The sequence below is a fragment of the Homo sapiens genome, chromosome 1 (assembly GCF_000001405.40).
Source record: "Homo sapiens chromosome 1, GRCh38.p14 Primary Assembly".
Taxonomy (NCBI): domain Eukaryota; kingdom Metazoa; phylum Chordata; class Mammalia; order Primates; family Hominidae; genus Homo; species Homo sapiens.
In genome coordinates, this window is record NC_000001.11 from 27317356 (window position 1) to 27337719 (window position 20364).

Below are 20364 nucleotides of genomic sequence, written 5' to 3' on the forward strand. Positions count from 1 at the left end.
TAGCTGGGGCTGGGCGCGGTGACTCACGCCTGTAATCCCAGCACTTCAGGAGGCCAAGGTGGGTGGATCACCTGAGGTCAGGGGTTCAAGACCAGTCTGGCTAACACAGTGAAACCCAGTCTCTACGAAAAATACAAAAATCTGTAGGCATGGTGGTGCACACCTATAGTCCCAGCTACTCAGGAGGCTGAGGCAGGAGAATCACTTAAACCTGGGAGGCAGAAGTTGCAGAGAGCTGAGATAGTGCCACTGCATTCCAGCCTGGGCAACAGAGCAAGACTCCATCTCAAAAAAAAAAAAAAAAAAATTAGCTGGGCGTGGTGGTGTGCACCTGTAATCCCAGCTTACTAAGAAGGCTGAGGCAGGAGAATCACTTGAACCCGTGAGGCAGAGGTTGCAGTGACCCGAGATGGCCCCACTGCACTCCAGCCAGGGTGACAAAGGGAGACTCCATTTCCAAATAAAACAAAAAAATGGAATGGAAAAGGAAGTCGTTTTGTGAACTCTGATGTCTAAAGGACCAGTGGGTTTGCTCTGAAATAGTTTATTGCACTGAGTTGGTCCCCTTAATCTCCTCCCCACCATGGGAAGGTTTGGAGTCATAATGGAAAGAGGCCCAGCTTCCAGGGGCCAGAGAGGGCAATGATGAAGCTGAGCAGAAGAGAGTACGCTGTCCTCCCACATGCTGCATATACTGCAGCATGCCCCTGGCTCAGGCTCTTTCCCTGGATTGAGGTGATTCTTCCCCAGAGCCCTTAAGGAGACATCTACAGTCAACAAATAACTCCAGTGACATTACCTGAGCACTTCCTCTCTGCCAGTTGCCTAGTTGGATACAGGGACCAATAGATCCAGTTAGTCCCCTTCTCAAGGAGTTCACAGTCTCTTGGGAGCGACAGACATGTAAACAGCTAATGCTAATGCAAGTACACATGAATATTCAATAGGTGGAAACACAGCCTTCGTGCTCTGGGAGCAAAGAGGGAGCATTTGCCTGAAACCTTGAAAGTAGTGTAGAAGAGGAAAGGAAGGACATCCCCGATGAGGGAATGGTGTGAGCCAACACACAGGGTATGAAGTGCAGGACTTGTTCTGTGAAGGGCAAACAGGCCAGTGAGGCTAACTCCAGGCAAGTCCCGAAGGAGACTGTGAGAAATGAGGCTGGAAGGAAAATTTGAGGGCATCATGAGGGGCCTTGAATGCCAGGAGCGAGATATCCTGAAAGAGGAGATTTGTGAGTCCTGGGGACTTATACATGGGGCCAATTGAGGGGGTGCGCTGACTCCCACCAAGAGAGGAAATGCCCCAAGCTCACCCTTCAAACAAGCAGCATCTTACCCTCAAAGGTTTCCCAGCTTGACAGTTTCAGCTCTGGCATCCTTCCCTCCCCCAGCCAAACCCATAAGTGGATCCAGATGGTCATTCCTATTTTAGGTTGGGGTGTGTGTTGGGGGAGGGATAGCTCTGAAACCTATCAATCCTGTCCCAAGCTCAGCCATAACAGGAGCTTCCTCCAGGACCCTGCTGTGATCCTGTGAGCCTGGAAGGAAATATTAGTCTTTGATGGAGATTTCCCATCTGTTTATGGGTGATAAGGAAGCAACAGCAGAGGAGTCCAGGGCACAGGCCAGAGAGACTCTTACAATTGGGTGAGAGAACCAAGGTGTATATGTGAGAAGGAGTGTTCTGCAGGGATGAATCCATTATTTAAAAAAAAAAAAAAAAAAAAAAGGCCGGGCACGGTGGCTTATGCCTGTAATCCCAGCACTTTGGGAGGCTGACGCAGGTGGATCACAAGGTCAAAAGATCAAGACCATCCTGGCCAAACATGGTGAAACCCCATCTCTGCTAAAAATACAAAAATTAGCTGGGTGTGGTGTTGCGCACCTGTAGTCCCAGCTACTCGGGGAGGCTGAGGCAGGAGAATTGCTTGAACCCAGGAGGCAAAGGTTGCAGTGAACCAAGATTGTGCCACTGCACTCCAGCCTGGTGACAGAGTGAGACTCTGTCTCAAAAAAAAAAAAAAAAAAAAAAAAAAATCTTGTGGATGGGTTGTGGTGCGGGGCAAGCCTGTGGGACAGGCACCAGAGGATCTGGCTTCTACCTCCAGGTACCCGGCCCTCCTCATGCCACGTTTCTGCAGCTGCCTAGGCCAAGGGTAGGATGACGTGGACCTTAGGAAAGGAGCCAGGGCTCTGTGGTCTGATCCTCTGCCTGAGCACTGTTCCCACCAACCCAAGCCCATTGAAAAGGTTTGGGACACCAAGAGGTAGCAGGTTCCTGCGTTTAGACTGTAACCAGCACGTGATACCAAGCCTGTAAGTATTTGCCTTTCATTCAATTTAACAAATATTGATTAAACAAATACCATGCACTAGGCACTATACTGGGCATTGGGTATACACACGTTAGCAAGACAAATAGAGTTTCCAGTCAAGTGGGGGAGGCAAATAGTACATAGCTACAAAGAAGCTATGAAGAAAAAGAACAGGAGATTAATGGGGGCTTTCTCATTTAGATTGGGAGACCAGGGATGGGCTGAGAAAGTAATATTTGATCTGAGACTGGAAGAATGAAAGTTAGCCGCTTTAAGTAGATAGGAGTAGTATTTCAGGCAGAGGGGAACAGTGTGTGCCAAGTCCCTGGAATATGAAGGAGTGCATGAGAGGAACTGAAAGAAAAGGCCAGGATGGCTGTAGTATAGTAAATAAGGAAGGGGCATGGGTCCAGATGGTGCAGGGCTTTGTGAGCCATAGTAAGATATTTGTGTTTCATACGAAGTGCAACGGGAAGCCATTGAAGTTTGGCAGATTAAATGTGGTACGTGTATTAGTACTACCAAACTTGTGGCAGGCCCTGAGAGACTTACTTTGGTTGTTTATTCATCAATACCTACAATAAATGTTTAAAGGGTACCCAGCAACCCTGTGCTAGAATTATGGGCTGACAGTCATGGTAGGGAGATGTCTAAGGCACAGACCTTCCTCACAGCCTGTGGTCCAGAAGAGATTAGATAACTACAGTGATTGAATCAAGAAGTCATGTAATTTATTCTCAACAACTGTAAACTACACACCTAATCTATTCCAAACCCTGTGCTGGATGCTGGTTGTTGCCCTTCAAGGATCACACACTGCACAGGGGTCAAGGAGAGGTACAAACGTGCTCAAAGAATTTGGAGTGGGTTAGAATCATTTTCTAACCCACTGTAATCATTATCATGCCTGCGAATCTCTGAGGTCTTTATAAAACATCCATTTATTCAATCACCTAATAAATCAGTAAACATCTAGTGGGCATATGCTTTGCACCAGGAACTGTGCCAGCTACTGAAGTCAAGGACCTTAGAGTTCTATAGCAGAGACAGACATCCCCCACAAAAAAACATGAAAATATTAGGTGCTACAAACAGGACAGCAAGCTCTCCATAGATCAGCATTGAGGGAGGGTAATTCAGTGGAAGAAGGACCTTCCCCAAATGGGAAGCTCCTAACTTCCTGAGTGCATTTGTCCATACCTTCCTTTACCTGATTACTCTTTTTATTCTTTTTTTTTTTTCTTTAAGGCTGATTTTTAGTGGCAGCCTTCCTTCTGACTTTGGGCTGTCCCCAACTTCCCCTCCCCACCCCAGTAGACCCCAGTAGACTTCATTTTCTTTGTCTTGACATCCTTTAAAAAGCCAAAAGTCTCCAACATTTGAGCCTGGCTTCTCTCTAATTATGGTTGTGTGTGATCTCAAACAATTAACTTCCCTGAGCCCGTTTTCCCATTTGTACAATGAAGGGATTGGATCACATCTAAGGCTTATGATTTACTCCAGTAAGTATTCACACTCTTGCACACACTGCTCTGCACGGCCTTCCTTTCTTTGTACCGCTGCACTCATACTTCCACTCCTGTGCCACATGGCAAACATCAAGACTCAACTCAATAATATCCTATCTTCCAGCAAGTCTTCCCTGTATATACAATAAAACACACACACACACACACGTGCGCACACACAACTGTGTGTGTCTTCCTTTATGCTACCACTACCTCGTGAGAGGGCCACAGAATGAAAAGGGCAAGGGAGGTATAAGACTTGGGTTTGGGCCAGGCGCGGTGGCTCACGCCTGTAATCCCAGCACTTTGGGAGGCCAAGGCGGGCGGATCACAGGGTCAGGAGTTTGAGACCATCCTGGCTAACATGGTGAAACGCCACCTCTACTAAAAATACAAAAATTAGCCGGGCGTGGTGGCACGCGCCTGTTATCCCAGCTACTCGGGAGGCCGAGGCAGGATCGCCTGAACCTGGGAGGTGGAGGTTGCAGTGAGCCGAGATTGTGCCATTGCCCTCCAGCCTGGGCAACAAGAGAAAAAATTCCGCCTCAGAAAAAAAAAAAAAAAAAAAGACTTGGGTTTGCATCGTGGTCTCTCACCTTTTGAACCTCAGTTTCTCACCTGTAACAGGAGGGAATACCTAATTTGGATGTCTAATTAGTTTATGGGGATTAGAAACAATTCATGTCAAGTGCTTGGCACCTAAGAAGTGCTCAATAAATAGCGACTGTACCACACCTCCTAGGAGCCCTCAGCGTACTGAATTAGAGTTCTCTATAAGTCTCCGGCGCTAGACTGCGAACTGCCTGAGAGCATCCCTTCTGCAGCCGCGGGGCATAAGCGGCAAAGACTCGGGGCTGGCAGGCGCATAGGGAGTGGGGCGGGGCTGGCCGGGCCCAGAGGAACGCGGCTCGGATTCCCGGGGGAAGGCCAAGCGGGGCGGACCCCATCTCCGGGAAGTGACGCCATGGGGACGAGCGGCACCAGAGCCGGGGCCAGTCGGAGCGGGGCGCGCGCCGCATGGCGGAAGCGGAAGGGAGTTCTCTGCTCTTGTTGCCGCCGCCGCCACCCCCGCCCAGGATGGCGGAAGTGGAGGCGCCGACGGCGGCCGAGACGGACATGAAGCAATATCAAGGCTCCGGCGGCGTCGCCATGGATGTGGAACGGAGTCGCTTCCCCTACTGCGTGGTGTGGACGCCCATCCCGGTGCTCACGTGAGTCTCTTCCGGCATCCGCCTGGGGACGAGGAGGGCCCAGGGAGAGCCGGAGTCGGGCCGGGCTAGCCTCCGGCCCCAACGCGCAGCAAGCCTTTTCCTCGGGTCTGGCCCGCACGCCTCGCCCAGTCACCAGAACCCCGCCATCCATGTAGTGCCAGTTTGTGCACACGGCTGGGACACGCTCCCTGCTCTCAATACACCTGGTGTAGCCAGGGAGAGAGTTGTAGGCCAGCAGGAAAGGGCAAGTGGCTGGGAGACTCGAGCTGTGAGTGTGTAGAAGAGGGAGCCCCTTATCGGATCTGAGGAGACATTTTTATTAATTCACTGGTTTATTCTCTCATTGAGCAAATGCTTACTGGTCGCTTACCATATTCCAGACATACTGCTGGGTCTGGGAGCAAGAGTGGGAGTTTGGTTGGGACCACACGAGATCCTGGGATGTCAACATTGGAAGGGCCCCCAGAGATCTGAGAGTCCAACCCTTTGTCTCACGTGCCATCTCAGTTGCAAACTGGGTTTAGATCCCAGGTTGTCTGCCTCCCAGACCAAAGTTCTTTCTGTAACATCAGCCTTTGTCAGGGGAGAAGCAGGTGCTCTGGTACTACTTGGCGCCTTTTGGGAGGAGCTCTCATATGGGGAGAGGTGGTTTGCCCTCCTGCTTCAACCTTGACAGCTGATAAACGTAACCCCTCCTCACCGTGCTGGATAGTTTGCCAAGCTCTTAAACACCCATTTTATCAGAATTAAACATCCATTTTCTAAGGTAGGTTATCTTCTCAGATGGTGAAGCTGAGCTGCTTGTAGCATTAAGTGTCTTGATCAGGTTCGCACCCCAATAAGCAAAGGCATGAAGAGCTCAGTCTTCTGATCTAACTTGCTCTTTGCACTACATCTTATCCACTCTCACCTGATGGGATAGCTTGTTCCGCTATCAATAACAGCCAGTGGTGATGTGGAGAAGGGATCATTTGGGGCCTTAGGTGTTGCTGATTCTAAAAAGATCGTAGTTTTTGAATTATGTTAAAATACTTGAATTATTTTGTGTTTTCAAGTACTTATGCATATAAGAGCATCCAAATCTGTTCTTTAAAAATAAAATATTGGGACAGGCGCGGTGGCTCATGCCTGTAATCCCAGCACTCTGGGAGGCAGTGGAGGGTGGATCGGTAGGTAGTTCGAGACCAACCTGGCCATCGTGGCGAAACCCGTCTCTACTAAAAATACAAAAATTAGCTGGGCATAGTGGCACGTGCCTGTAATCCCAGCTACTCTGGAAGCTGAGGCAGGAGAATCGCCTCAACCCGGGAAGTGGAGTTTGCAGTGAGCCGAGATTGCACCACTGCACTTCAGCATGGGCAACACAGTGAAACTCCGTCTCAAAATAAATAGTGAAATAAAATCTTAGGAAAATGTGCACATTAATTCATTCAGTGTTCTTCTAACACATGTGCTAAGTGACCCCTGTGTTCCCAGATAGTTCTAGGTGATGCGAATATACAGTGATGAATAAAGGAGATATGGTCTTTAGACTTTTGAGAGTTTAAGTCATAGTGGAAGGAGATAGACAGTAAACAAGTAAGCTAATAAAAGAGCACCTGATAGTGATGAGTGCTGTGAAGAAAATAAAATATTAGTGTGAAAATAACAGGGGCCGGGCGTGGTGGCTCAGGCCTGTAATCCCAGCACTTTGGGAGGCCCAGGCGGGCGAATCACCTGAGGTCAGGAGTTCAAGACAAGCCTGACCAACATGGAGAAACCCCATCTCTACTAAAAATACAAAATTAGCCGGGGTGGTGGCACATGCCTGTAATCCCAGCTACTCAGGAGGCCGAGGCAGGAGAATCACTTGAACCCGGGAGGTGGAGGTTGCGGTGAGCCAAGATCGTGCTTTTGCACTCCAGCCTGGACAACAAGAGCAAAACTCCGTTTCAAAAAAAAAGAAAATAACTGGGAGGGATACTCAGGAAATGTATTGGTTTTCTTAAAACCTGTCTTGTGATCCTAAACTCTCTTTAGCCTTTCTTATTCTCAAAAACACCATCTGTGGCGTGGTCCTCTGCGGAGAATGGTAGCAGCGTGAGGTGGAGGCACCACAATCCCTTGTCACCTGGGCCAAAAGCAGCTCATAGCCCATTTCTATTCAGATCTGTGTACAGGTGTTCATAAGACCAAGATGAATAAGACACTGTGTTCCTGTCAAAGGGTTCATGTTCCCTTCTGTGTTAGTCCATTCTTGCACTAATACTTGAGACTGGATAATTTCTAAAGAAAAGAGGTTTAATTGACCCATGCTTCTGCAGGCTATACAGGAAGCATAGTGGCTTCTGCTTCTGGGGAGACCTCAGGAAGCTTCCAGTTATGGTGTAAGGCAAAGGGGGAGGGAGGCATCTCACATGGCGGGATTAGGAGCAAGAGGGAGTGAGGGGGGAGATGCTACACACTTTTAAACAACCAGATCTTGGGAAAACTCACTATCACGAGAACAGCACCAAAGGGATGGTGCTGAACCATTTATGAGAAAACCAGCCTCATGATCCCACCACCAGCCCCCACCTCCAATATGGGGACTACAGTTTGACAGGAGATTTGGCGGGGACAGATCCAAACCATGTCACCTTCAAAGGACTCACCTCCAGCAGGAGGGAGAGAAAGGTCAATTAGCCATCGTAGTATTACTGTATAGTGATGATTGCAGAGCTAGGCATAGATGTGGCGCAAGTAACTGTCACCTGTCTTTGGAGGAGAGATCAGAGGAGGAAATGGAACCCAAAGATCTGTCTACCCCCTCAGAGATGTTGGTAATTCTGCATGAAAAACCAGTTTAGTGCTCGCCTCAGCAGCACATATACTAAAATTGGAACGATACAGAGAAGATTAGCATGGCCCCTGCGCAAGGATGACATGCAGATTCGTGAAGCGTTCCATATTTTTGTCTCCCTGGACTTCGAGCAGGAGATGGCCACTACCACATCCTCCTCCCTGGAGAAGAGCTACAAGCTGCCGGATGGCCAGGTCATCACCATCAGCAACAAGCGGTTCCAGTGTCCGGAGGCGCTGTTCCAGCCTTCCTTCCTGGGTATGGAATCTTGCGGCATCCACGAGACCACGTTCAACTCCATCATGAAGTGTGACGTAGACATCCGCAAAGACCTGTACACCAACATAGGGCTATCCAGAGGCACCACCATGTACCCGGGCATCACCGACAGGATGCAGAAGGAGATTAACGCCCTGGCATCCAGCACCATGAAGATCAAGCTCATTGTGCCCCCAGAGTGCAAGTACTCTGTGTGGATCAGCGGCTCCATCCTGGCCTCACTGTCCACCTTCCAGCAGATGTGGATTAGCAAGCAGGAGTATGACGAGTCAGGCCCCTGTATCGTCCACCGCAAATGCTTCTAAATGGACTGCGAGCCGATGCGTAGCATTTGCTGCATGGGTTAATTCAGAAGTATAAATTGGCCCTGGCAAATGCATATACCTCATGCTAGCCTCACGAAAATGGAATAAGCCTTCGAAAAGAAATTGTCGTTGAAGCTTGTATCTAATATCAGCACTGGATTGTAGAACTTGTTGCTGATTTTGACCTTGTATTCAAGTTAACTGTTCCCCTTGGTATTTGTTTAATACCCTGTACATATCTTTGCTTTCAACCCTTAGTACATGTGGCTTGGTCACTGCGTGGCAAGGTAAGAATGTGCTTGTGGAAGACAAGTGCGACTTGGTGAGTCTGCATGGCCAGCAGTCTCCGATCTTTGCAGGGTATTAATATGTCATGGCTGAGTGTTCTGGGATTTCTCTAGAGGCTGACAAGGGCTCCTGAACCAGTTGTTTCTGTCCTGCTGGTCTGTCAGGGTTGGAAAGGCCAAGCCATAGGACCCAGTTTCCTTTCTTAGCTGATGTTTTCCTGCCAGAACACTGTGGGCTGTGACTTGCTTTGAGTTGGAAGCAGTTTGCATTTACACCTGTAAATGTATTCATCCTTTTAATTTATGTAAGGTTTTTTTTTGTATGCAATTCTCGATTCTTTAAGGAGATGAGAACAGATTTTGGTTTTCTACTGTTATGTGAGAACATTAGGCCCCAGCGGCATGTCATTGTGTAAGGAAAAATAAAAGTGCTGCTGTAACCAAAAAAAAGGGAAAAAAAAGAAACTAGTTTAATAGCTGCTGCTACTAATAAAAACAGCTAAGATTAGATGCTTACTCTGTCCTAAACATTGTATGTTCACTCACTCAATCCTAATGTCAACCTATGAAAGTAGATACTGTTGTCACCATTTTATAGATGAGGAAGTAAGGCTTAGAAGCCAGTGTGGTGCTCTTTTGCTGAGTTAGCCTACCTTCCCAGATTGAGCTCCAGGATGAGTGAGTCATTTATTCATTTATTGTATCTTTATAAAGCACCTATTATGTACTAGGTCCTGAATAGAAGGTAGTCCACAAAGCGGCTCTGGAGCTGCCTTCCTGGAGCTTCCAGGCTGACAAACCACTTTGAGGGTTTCTTCTCTGGGGCTTCCAGCCTTTACTCTGATTTCCATCCACTGCTGCCAGCACAGCTGTGGCGTGTGGAATCCTGGTTGGACCCAGACTTCCTCCCAAGCAGATGAAAGGATTAGGGGGCAGAGATGGGGGTGGAGGGCAGTCCTGAGATCAGGATGAGCTACTTTCCCATAATCCTGAATGTCCATCCTGTGGCCTGTGGATCTTCTGCAACTTATTCTATGTTAGTGCAGTCAGTCAGATAGTGCTTATGTATTGAACACCTCGAGATGACAACATTGAGCAGCTGCCAAGCGGAAGGCAGAGTCCTAGGCACTGTGTAAATGGATAAGTCTATCCATTTAATCCTCACAATAGCTCCTCATTAAGGTAATTTTTACTATCCACAGAGAGATGGGAATTAGTAACTTGCCCAGAACAAAGGCAAGCCTCAACCCAGATGATATCTGAGCATGACTTCACTGTTGGCGTTTGTTTGTTGTTTTTAATTTTTATTTATTTATTTATTTAGAGACAGAGTCTTGCTCTGTCACCCAGGCTGGAATGCAGTGGCGTGATCTCAGCTCACTGCATCCTCCGCCTCCGGGGTTCAAGTGATTCTCGTGCCTCAGCCTCTCGAGTAGCTGGGATTACAGGCACATGCCACCATGCCCATCTAATTTTTGTATTTTTAGTATAGACAGGGTTTCGCCATGTTTCCCAGGCTGGTCTCGAACTCCTGACCTCAAGTCATCCACCGGCCTCTGCCTCCCAAAGTGCTGGGATTACAGGCGTGAGCCACTGAGCCCAGCCTTGACTCACTGCAGCCTCAACTTCCTGGGCCCAGCCTTGGCTCACTACAGCCTCAACTTCCTTGGATCAAGTGATCCTCCAGCTAATTTTTAGATTTTTTTAGATACAGGGTCTCACTGTGTTGCCCAGGCTGGTCTCAAATTCCTGGGCTCAAGCAATCCAACTGCCTTGGCCTTCCAAAGTGCTATGATTACAGGCGTGAGCCACAGCACCCAGCCCCAGACTCTACTCTTAAATGCAGGATGTTCATTCATTATTTAGTCAACAAATATTTAGTGAGTTGCAGCTATATACAGGCACTGCCGTAGTAAACAAGAAAAAATCCTGTCTCTCTTGGAGCTTATGTTCTAGTGGAGAGACAGCATATAAATAACCAAGATAATTTTGGATGGTAGTAGATACTATGAGGGAAGTAAAGCATTGTAGTGGGATCTGGGATTGGGTGGCTGTGCTGGAAGACACCGTTCAGGCAAGACCTCCGAAGGTGACAGTGAGGCTGAGGCCTAATCAGTGAGGAGTCAGCTGTGCCATGCTCTCTGGGAAGAGTGTTCCAGACGGAGGAGAGGGCAGATACAGAGAAAGCATGGGGTGGGAGGATTTGGCGTGTTTGAGGCCACAAGCAGGCAGTGTAGCTAGAGAGGGGACTGAGATGAAGTTCAAGGGATAATTAGCACCACAGTGTTGGAAGAAGTTCGAAGTGTATTATAAGTGTAGTAGGAAGCCATTAATAGGTGTTGAACAGGGGAATGATGGAATCTGAGTTCAATTCTCAAAAGACCACTCTGGCCCTACCATTGTCTCAAGCGCTCAAGCTGTAGACCTGGAAGACCCCCATCCTGTCAGTCGTAAACTCTCCAGTCTTCATTTGAAAGATCTTTTGAATCCATGTGTTTCTCACCACCCTGCCCCTGATCCTCTAGTCAGGACCTCCATCATCTCTTGCCAGTGGTACAGCAGTAGCCCCTGAGCTGGCCTCTCCCCCTTTCGTTCTTCCAGGCACATGTACCACTTTCTTGCTCTGCAGTGTTGTTTTCTGCCTGTTGATGTTGTGTCCTTTCACAGGTCAAGGTTAAAAGTCACCTCCTCTGTGAAGTCTTTACTGGCTCCACCCCAGCCCCCTGTAACTGCTTTTTTAAACTGCGTCTCTGGAGGCTTGGCCTGCACCCCTAGCCAGGTGCTTTATGCTCGTGCCCAGGCAGCATTGAGGCCAGGACTCGGCCACTGGCCCTGTGAGTTCTCCTTAAACTGGATCAGTCTCTCCAGCACCCAGGTCCTGTAGGGCCATGGTTCTCAGAACACAGACAGGTCTGGGGTTCCTATGTGTGACATATTGGGGTGCATCTGAGATTTATTGTTGTTTTTTAATGCCCATGGTTTATAAAAAAGGAACTTTTATTTCCTGGCATACACCATGCTTCTGTTCCAATTTCTACCCTTGCACATTCTGTTTCTTTGTTATTTCCTCAGGGAAGCCTTTCCTGAACTCCCCCACCCATACTGGTGTCATGACCGCCCACCTTTTTTTTTTTTTTTAACTTTCTTATTGAGGTATAACTTATGTACCAAACGGTGTGCGAATCTCAAGTATACAGCAGGAAGAATTTTTGCATATCACACACTCATGTAACCGCCACCCAGACGGGGGCTAGAAAGCAATGCTAAGACCCAGAGGACCCCCTTGTGCCCTCCCAGTCAGTTCTACCACAGATTCCACCCCGCTGTGGACCTCTAGCCATAGATCAGTCTTGCCTTTTCTTGGACTTCACGTAAACAGAGTGCTATGTTACGTACTCTGTGTAAGATTTCCTTCATTCACCCTTATGTCTGTGAAAGCCTGTGTTGTGTGTAGCAGAAGTGACACTGTTTTTCATTGTTATGGACTATTTCAATGTATAACTATACCACACTTATTCATCGTACTGTTGTTGAACATTTGGATTCTTTCTAGTTGTTTTTATCAATTTTATTGAATTATAGTTTACATATAATAAAATGTACACATTTTAAGAGTACAGTTCAATGAGTTTTGGCAAATGTTATTTCCCAGGGGTGAGGGCAAAGAAGGTTCCAAAAGTGAAACTGCTGAGGCATTTAGTATAGTGCCAAACTGTTTTCCAGAATGGTAGAAACAGGCCGGGTACGGTGGCTCACGCCTGTAATTCCAGCACTTTGGGAGGCCGAGGCAGGCAGATGACTTGAGGTCAGGAGTTCGAGACCAGCCTGGCCAACGTGATGAAACCTCATGTCTACTAAAAATACAAAAATTAGCCAGGCATGGTGGTGCACTCCTGTAGTCCCAGCTACTCGGGAGGCTGAGGCAGGAGAATTGCTTAAACCCAGGAGGCGGAGGTTGCAGTGAGCTGAGATTGTGCCACCGCACTTCAGCCAGGGCAAGAGAGCGAGACTCCATCTCAAAAACAAAATGGTAGGCCGGGTGCAGTGGCTTATGCCTGTAATCCCAGCACTTTGGGAGGCCAAGGCACGTGGATCACGAGGTCAAGAGATCGAGACCATCCTGGCCAACATGGTGAAACCCCATCTCTACTAAAAATACAAAAATTACCCAGGCGTGGTGGTGCACACCTGTAGTCCCAGCTACTCAGGAGGCTGAGGCAGGAGAATTGCTTGAACTCGGGAGGCGGAGGTTGCAGTGAGCCAATATTGTGCCACTGCACTCCAGCCTGGGCGACAGAGCGAGACTCCATTTGAAAAAAAAAAAAAGGTAGAAACAGTTTATCCCTCCCACCAGCAGTGAATGAGAGCTCTGGTTGTCCCTTGCCCTCACCTGCATTGGTGTTGCTGTCGTTTGAGTTACAGCCATCCTGGCGGGATGCTGAGGTATCCCATTGTGCTGTCGGTTTGCAGTTACCCTTGTCTGTGCTTCCCCAGCCTTCTGGACCACCCTAATGGCCACCTGTCAATGAAACGTAATATTCACATGCTTCTGTACTGTATGAAGGGTCCCCAGCGTCCGTCTAACTGGCTGAAAGATCCCCTAAGCTCTGTCCCTTCCCCGTCCTTTTCCTCACAGGTGGTTTTTCCCCATCATCGGCCACATGGGCATCTGCACATCCACAGGAGTCATTCGGGACTTCGCGGGCCCCTACTTTGTCTCAGTGAGTCCCCATTCTGCCCACCCGGGGGGTTCCAAGGTTTAAGTGGAAGGCTGTCCTGTCTTGCCTGCAGGCAGGCTTCGTCTCCCCAGACCCAGGAGAACGTAGATAACCCGCAGTCCTGGCCCTGGCCCTCTGCCCCTCACCAGTGTTTGACCCCTTTCCCCCTTCTCTTGCCTCCAGGACAGGCCGGGAGGGCAGTGTGGCCAGAAGGATTCTTAAGTAACTGACCCAGCCCTTTGCCCCCACCCCTGGGGTACCGAGACATGGGTAGGGATTAGAGGCAAGAGTGGAGAGTCAGACCATCCAGGAACCACATCTCTGGACCTTCAGAAGGTGGGAGTCAAGGTGGGGGGACACGGGAGGCTGATTCGGTTCCCTGGGTGTGGCCATGGAGAAGAGGGGGTGGGGCTTTAGAATGAAGCAGCTGTGTTCTCAGGTCTGTTCCCTGGGGCTGTGACCAAGACTGGTCCAGTGGGCTAGCAGCAGAGGAGCATGCATCATCCTGTCTCCAGGTGTCAGAGGCTGGACTGAAGGGGTGTGGTGGCACCAACCTGTTTATATTAATAGTTGTCATGATCATCTTAACACGACAAAGGTCTGTCACTTTGTACTTAAAAATACTTTCACATCCATTACTTTATCATATATTTTTATGGTGATTAATCATTGACCAGGTCTGTCAGCAGGGTCTCCCTGATCTGAACCCAGAGTCTGTCTCTGTGTAAGTCCTGTACCCCAGGAATAATGTGATGAGTCTAGGACTTCACTGCAGTGTCTCCCTCACAGGAAGTCCCTCTGGGCCCAGCGCCCCCGCCCTGCTATGAATGCAGTCAGACTGCTGGGCGAGGAGATGGTCTCCATGTGGGCCACCACTGTTGAGTCAGGAGGCCAGACCATGATGGAAACCTCCTGCTGGTCCTCAGAGATCAGAGAAGACTGACCAGAGAACTTGGAGAAAATGAGGCCCAGAGAGGGCAAGAGAATTCCTGGGTGCCACACCAAGGGACAGTGGCAGCTGGAGCCCCAGATCTTTGGTCTCTGATGCAGTGCTCTGTGCACTTGTGCCACACTGCCTTCTTCCTGCAGAACAGCTGCTAGCTCTTTAGATGCCATGCCAGCCCCAGGGCAGGGCCCAGGCCCCACTTCTGGCCCCCCCACCCCTGACATACCCTCTTCTAAGTCACTGCACTTCTGCCACCTACCCAGGTTTGTCATCTGGCCCAAATGTAAGTTCCTCACTGACCTCTGCTTTTGTCCCTCAACAGGAGGACAACATGGCCTTTGGAAAGCCTGCCAAGTAAGTGATGAACACCCATGTGACTGGCTCTAGAGGCAGGTCGCTCCTGCCGGGGCGGGCCAGGCCTTCTGGGGCACAGGAGGGGCCAGCACCCTGAGAATAGAGTATTTGGGGTCGGGGGAGAGGTCAGCCAGGGTCCACCAGAGCATGGCAACCCCATACAGAGTGTGTACCGCACCAGCCCCTGGCTAGGGCCTTTACCTGTAGACCATCTGGGCCTTGCCACAGCTCTTCAGGTTTGTATTTTCAACTCCATGGCAAGGGTGAGGAAAGGGAAGGGACTTGGTCAAGGTCACACAGGAAGTGGCAGAGCTGGGACCCACACCCAGATCTGTCTCCCTCTAGACTCACTCTCCTGCCCTTTGGGAACAAATGAGGCATGGAAGGTAGAAGAGAGGCATTGTTTGGAGCTCTGCTGGAAAGTTCTGGTTGGAGAGAATAAAAACCGTTCAACCTTCTGGGAGCTATTGCTGGTTTGGTTTGGGACATTTGGTCTTCATCTTTGCAGTCTCGGGTGCCCACCTCAGCTGTGGGCCTGGTGAGAGTGCCTCAGTCATCAGTGTCCTCAGGTGACCTGTTGCCCAAGGCTGCACTGGGAGGAGAGACTGGGCCGAGGAGGAGTTGGTGTCCCACACAGCTGAGATGGCCTGGAGCAGGGCTTCCTGCTGCCCTCTCTGGCTTCCTCCGGCAGGCAGCAGTGTAGTCCAGGAGTCTCTGGGCCACCAGGTGTTCGCTGCCAGACTGCTCTTCAAGGACAGTTTTAAGGGCATCATTTTCCAAGCAGTAGCCCCTAAGCGGCCCCAGTCCAGGCCATGGTCTCTAGACTCCTCCACCAAGCCATTCCCCTACACAACAGCCAGGGGGCGCCCTGACCTCCCAGCTCTCCTTGGCCTGAGACCCACCGGGCACTCTGGTGCTTGGAACAGCAATTCTCACCCACCTTGAGGTTTATGGGCTTTAGCACCATCAGCTTCCCTGCCACTCACCCTGGCAAGCTGCCTGGGAGACTAGGGGAGAGTGCTTGCTGCTGGGTAAACTCCCCGCGTGATGTGGCCTCACCTGCATCTCCAGCCTTAGCTGCCAGCATTCCATCACCGTGTTTCTCTTTCTGCATCCTCCAGGAGGGCTCAGTCACTTCAGTTATGGGACATGCTGCACAGTTTTATGCCTGTCACTTAGCTTAAGCTGTTCCCTCAGCCTGGAATGCCCACCTCTTCTTTCTATGCCTGCCTAACCCTCTTCCTTCATACTGGACCCAGGTGTCACCTCCAGGAAGCCTTCTCACACCCCATCTTAGTCCGTTCTGGCTGCCATAACAAAATCTCATCAATTGGGTATCTTAGAAACAACAGAAATGTATTTCTCACAGTTCCGAAGACTGGACAGTCCTGGGTGCGGGTGCTGGTAGAGTCAGTGTCTGGTGAGGGCCTGAGGTGCCTTTCCACTGTGTCCCCACGTGGTGGAGGGGTGAGGGGTCTCCCTCAGGGCTCTTTTATAAGGACACGGATCCCATTCATGAGAGCTAATCACCCCATGGCCTAATCACCTCCCAAAGGCCCCACCTCCTCATACCATCACCTTGAGGGTTAAGATTTCAACATATGAACTTGGGGACACAGACTTTCAGAGCATAGCACCCCCAATTTCATTCCATATCCCCCCAGGATCCCCCATGGCACCAGCCACCTCACCCTGTGTCACAGTTGACTGCCACATAACACTTGCCCCAGATCTGGCTTACTGTACATCTCAGCACCCAGCTCAGGCCCGGGCACAGGGCAGGCCTCAGAGGACGTGCGTAGAGCTGAGGGCACAAAGGAGCCAAGCAAGTGTCCAGAGCCCTTCTCTCCCCCCAGGTACTGGAAGTTGGACCCTGCTCAGGTCTATGCTAGCGGGCCCAACGCATGGGACACGGCTGTGCACGACGCCTCTGAGGAGTACAAGCACCGCATGGTAGGTGGGCCAGGGCGGCACCGGCACTCCCCAGGTGGGGACCAGGGGGGAGGCTCCCCTGCAGCCCATCCTGACCAGCCCTTCTGGTGCCTCCAGCACAATCTCTGCTGTGACAACTGCCACTCGCACGTGGCATTGGCCCTGAATCTGATGCGCTACAACAACAGCACCAACTGGAATATGGTGACGCTCTGCTTCTTCTGCCTGCTCTACGGGAAGTACGTCAGGTGAGCTGCCCTCCTGCCTGCCCACCCACACACTGCCCAGAGGCTGCTCTCCCAAGGATCCTAGAAAGACCATTCCTAGCGTCCTTCAGTCAGCCAGGACAGTTGGAACAGATGCCAGTTGGAGCCGTGGTGGTTCTAGAGTGACGAGCTGAGGGCCTGATGGAGAGGGAGGTGGCTGTGCTGAAGTCCAGCTCCACCTGGGCCCCAAATGCAGCTCTGGCTCTTGCCTGCTGTGAGACCATGGGCAACTGCCTTGGTCTCTCTTAGCCACAGCTGTCTCTGGTGAAATGCAGGCAATGATTCCGGCTCCTCAGGGAGGCTTCTACGGATCCCTGTGCTCCGGTAAAGTGAGCAGATAGATCCTCTCATAATGACTGCCCCACAGGTCCCTTCCTAGGCAGAGAGATTGAGTGAGTCGCCCATGGTCGCCACAGCATGGACACAGCAGAGCCCAGACTCGTGAGCCAGCATAGGTTAGTGCTGATCTGGCCGCCTCTCCAAGCTTTCCTCTTAGCCACGTTCATCATTAAGAGGTTCTGAAAAGAAGACTTTTAGGGATATTTTTAAGTACTGCATGGCTTTTAGAAGTCCCCTGAGAATAACTGGTCACACAGAGGTTGAACCCAGACCCCTGGCTCCCAGCTGCTTGGCTCCAGCCACAACACTGCTGACCCTTGCCAGCCCCAGAGCTCCCAGTAGTCCCCATTATGAAGTCCATAGGCAGAGGGCACACGTGGCTTCCATACCCAAACTGCAATTCCTGGTCCTCTTGCTGGAGACCCTAGAGGTAGGTGGCTATAGATGGAGCCAGTGAGGCCTAGAAATGGGGAGCATGTTTCCTGTTCCCAACCAGCGAGGTGTCAGTAAATCACCAGGAGCGCGGAGCAGCCCCTGCCCGGGACCATAGCTGGTGATCCCCCATAGTGGGCAACCATGCCCAGCCTGCTTCCTTGATTGGCCAAGTTTGGGGTGAGGGGGTGGTTGGGTTTTCCTTAGGGATGGCAGCCCTATTGGGGTCTGTGGGTGCTCAGGGCTGCGGGCCGCATGCCTGCTCACCAGGCCCTGCCCACCTATGCTCGCTCCTTTCTCTCTGTCAGCGTTGGGGCCTTCGTGAAGACCTGGCTGCCCTTCATCCTTCTCCTGGGCATCATCCTCACCGTCAGCCTGGTCTTTAACCTCCGGTGATGGCTGCTCGGTGGCCCCACACCCACCAGGGTCCCGAGGAAACAGCCGCCATCCCTTTTGGTTCCAGATTTTTTTCTCCTCACCCCAAAAGGCAGGGTTGGGCCTGCTGTTGTGGACCGGGGGTCGGGGCTGGCAGGATGGAAGGACTGAGGACCAGCATGAAGTGGGGGTTTGTTGTCTCCCTGCCTCTCAGAAGCACCCTGTCCCCTCCTCCCCAGGCCTGTGACTCCGGCCCTGGAAGCCCCTTTGTTCTTCTGTTGAAAGGCTTTGGCTTCCCGCTGTAGAGCTGCTCCCGCCACCACCTGCTGGGGTCCTGCCTCAGCCCAGTGCCCAGTATGGGGAGAGGAGGACATTTGGGCTCACCTGTCAAGGTGGCCCTGGGACCAGAGCTGGTCCCAGCATGGGGTGCACCGGGTACACTTAACGTGTCTCTATAAGCCAAGTTGCTTCAGGACCTTCACCACTGGCCTCTAGAATGGTCCAGAGGGGCTGGCTGGGTCCCTTTGTCAGACTCCTGCCGGCAGCTGCCCTGGGGGACATGTGTGCCCATCTGGCATCCTCCAGCCCGTGCAGTCCGCTCTTCACTGTTCCACGGCCTCCCAGTGCCTCCCAGCATTGGACCCATCTCCCCCTGCAGTTTGAGGCCAGAGAGGTGAGTGGACCTGACAAGTGCCAGAGTAACCGTGTAGACAGAGCAGTGTAGACAGCACTCAGCCCCAGCCCCAGGTGTGGACCTCATGCTGGTGATGGCTCCCCTGGGTGGCCTGCCAGCACAGCCAGTGCCATCAGGGAGCTGAAGGGGCTGTCCCCCACCTAACTCCAGCTCCCCCTTCACGTTGTCACCAAGGCCCTGTGCCGCCCGCCTCGCCCCCCTGCTCTGTGGATTCCTTTGGGAAGGGCTCCCTGGGCAGGACAATAAAGAGTTTTGACTCCAGTTGGTGCCCTGTCATTGTTTTCTCCCTCTCTGGGGCCCCCTTGCCCCTTAGCTCATAGCGTCTTGGTATTCTTGGGACCCTATTACCCTTGACAAGGGTCTAGTTGCCAGCACCATGGTTGAGTCTGCGTCCAGTGCCTGGGGCCATCAGCATCCCTCAGGTATATCCCGCCCCTGAAGTCTGGGGATTCCCTGCCATTCTCCATTCCCCATTCCAAAGCTTTCCTCTTGAGGCAGGTGGGCATTGAAACCCCTTCCATCGTCCCTGTTGGGAAGGACTTGTAGGCTTGGGGTTAGGGCTGAGTAGAGCCTCCACTGCTGTCCCCACCACCCGCCGGGGTACAGAGTTGGGGATGAGCCAAGAGCACTGCCAGCCTCTGGTCACTGTATCCATCCAGCCTTCGCTTGCCTCCGATCCTTTGCTCTCCACCATCCCTCTCATGGCGGCCCTGCCTAACCAAGGCCCAGCTTAAAAGCCGCTTCCTCCCTGAAGCCTTTCCCAACCCTGTCCATGCATCACTTCAGTTGAACTAGCCAAGGATTTGGTCTTGAACGTGGCCTTGAGGACATGCTCTAGCAGCTGGCCATGGGGTCCCTGGTCAGGCATCTGCCAGCTCACCCCAGACCCTGCAGTGCTGTGGTCTGCAAGCCTGGGACTTCTCCAGGGCAAGGCAGAGGTGACCTCTCCCCACTTCAGAGCAGTTCCATTTACTTTTCTTTTTTTTCTTTCTTTCTTATTTATTTATTTTTTGGAGACAGAATCACTCCGTTGCCCAAGCTGGAGTGCAATGGCACGATCTCAGCTCACTATAACGCCTGCCTCCTGAGTTCAAGTAATTCTCGTGCCTCGGCCTCCCAAATAGCTGGGATTACAGGTGCCCGCCACCACGCTGGGCTAATATTTGTATTTTTAGGAGAGACGGGGTTTTACCATGTTGGCCAGGCTGATCTCGAACTCCTCAGGTGACCCACCCGCCTCAGCCTCCCAAAGTGCTGGGATTACAGGCATAAGCCATTACGCCTGGCCCCAGCAATTCCATTTTCAAAAACCTGTTTTGCATATTGGGTCCATCCGAGAGTTGGTTGAGGGGGGACAAATTCAATACTGAAGACAGGCCGGTTGCGGTGGCTCACGCCTGTAATCCCAGCACTTTGGGAGGCTGAGGCAGGCGGATCACGAGGTCAGGAGAGCGAGACCATCCTGGCTAACACGGTGAAACCCCGTCTCTAATAAAAATACAAGCACTTAGCCGGGCATGGTGGCGTGCACCTGTAGTCCCAGCTACTTGGGAGGCTGAGGCAGGAGAGTGGCATGAACC

At 51.2% G+C, this 20364-nt stretch overlaps 1 protein-coding gene and 2 pseudogenes across 7 annotated transcripts, besides 4 other annotated features; all 3 read left to right on the plus strand.

Moving 5' to 3' along the window:
* Positions 4222-4768: an enhancer, noted in NCBI's record as "H3K27ac-H3K4me1 hESC enhancer chr1:27648068-27648614 (GRCh37/hg19 assembly coordinates)". NCBI's record gives its function as "activates a minimal SCP1, AML or CMV promoter by ChIP-STARR-seq in naive H9 embryonic stem cells {active_cell/tissue: H9 hESC(naive)}" and the evidence as "EXISTENCE:reporter gene assay evidence [ECO:0000049][PMID:30033119]".
* Positions 4769-5316: an enhancer, noted in NCBI's record as "H3K27ac hESC enhancer chr1:27648615-27649162 (GRCh37/hg19 assembly coordinates)". NCBI's record gives its function as "activates a minimal SCP1, AML or CMV promoter by ChIP-STARR-seq in naive H9 embryonic stem cells {active_cell/tissue: H9 hESC(naive)}" and the evidence as "EXISTENCE:reporter gene assay evidence [ECO:0000049][PMID:30033119]".
* Positions 4808-19045, plus strand: TMEM222 (transmembrane protein 222). 6 transcript variants are annotated; one of them, NR_037580.2, is made up of 8 exons: positions 4890-5036; positions 13365-13449; positions 13630-13782; positions 14715-14746; positions 16603-16699; positions 16796-16926; positions 17312-17399; positions 18024-19045. NR_037580.2 is itself a non-coding variant. In NM_032125.3 (6 exons), the coding sequence occupies exons 1-6, from the start codon at positions 4843-4845 to the stop codon at positions 18109-18111; spliced, it is 627 nt and encodes a 208-aa protein (NP_115501.2). In that variant the 5' UTR covers positions 4808-4842; the 3' UTR covers positions 18112-19045. The 6 variants fall into 6 exon arrangements, 2 of the variants coding, with proteins under 2 accessions (NP_115501.2, XP_047287731.1); NR_037576.2 differs by lacking the exon at positions 17312-17399; NR_037577.2 differs by lacking the exon at positions 13630-13782.
* Positions 4816-5165: an enhancer, noted in NCBI's record as "active region_542". NCBI's record gives its function as "activates an Ori minimal core promoter by ATAC-STARR-seq in GM12878 lymphoblastoid cells {active_cell/tissue: GM12878}" and the evidence as "EXISTENCE:reporter gene assay evidence [ECO:0000049][PMID:35858748]".
* Positions 5317-5863: an enhancer, noted in NCBI's record as "H3K27ac hESC enhancer chr1:27649163-27649709 (GRCh37/hg19 assembly coordinates)". NCBI's record gives its function as "activates a minimal SCP1, AML or CMV promoter by ChIP-STARR-seq in naive H9 embryonic stem cells {active_cell/tissue: H9 hESC(naive)}" and the evidence as "EXISTENCE:reporter gene assay evidence [ECO:0000049][PMID:30033119]".
* Positions 6519-9170, plus strand: ACTG1P20 (actin gamma 1 pseudogene 20; annotated as a pseudogene). The gene has a single exon (NR_033926.1). The product of NR_033926.1 is annotated as an actin gamma 1 pseudogene 20 (transcript).
* On the plus strand, positions 7864-7969 carry RNU6-48P (RNA, U6 small nuclear 48, pseudogene; annotated as a pseudogene).
* Positions 19046-20364: the final 1319 nt, after the last annotated feature.

Excerpts from the sequence above, each read along its gene's own strand:
- TMEM222 (NM_032125.3), top strand. The coding sequence starts at position 4,843 with ATGGCGGAAGCGGAAGGGAGTTCTCTGCTCTTGTTGCCGCCGCCGCCA. Across the intron at positions 5,037-13,364 it reads ACGCCCATCCCGGTGCTCAC|GTGGTTTTTCCCCATCATCG; the intron begins GTGAGTCTCTTC and ends TTTTCCTCACAG. Across the intron at positions 13,450-14,714 it reads CGGGCCCCTACTTTGTCTCA|GAGGACAACATGGCCTTTGG; the intron begins GTGAGTCCCCAT and ends GTCCCTCAACAG.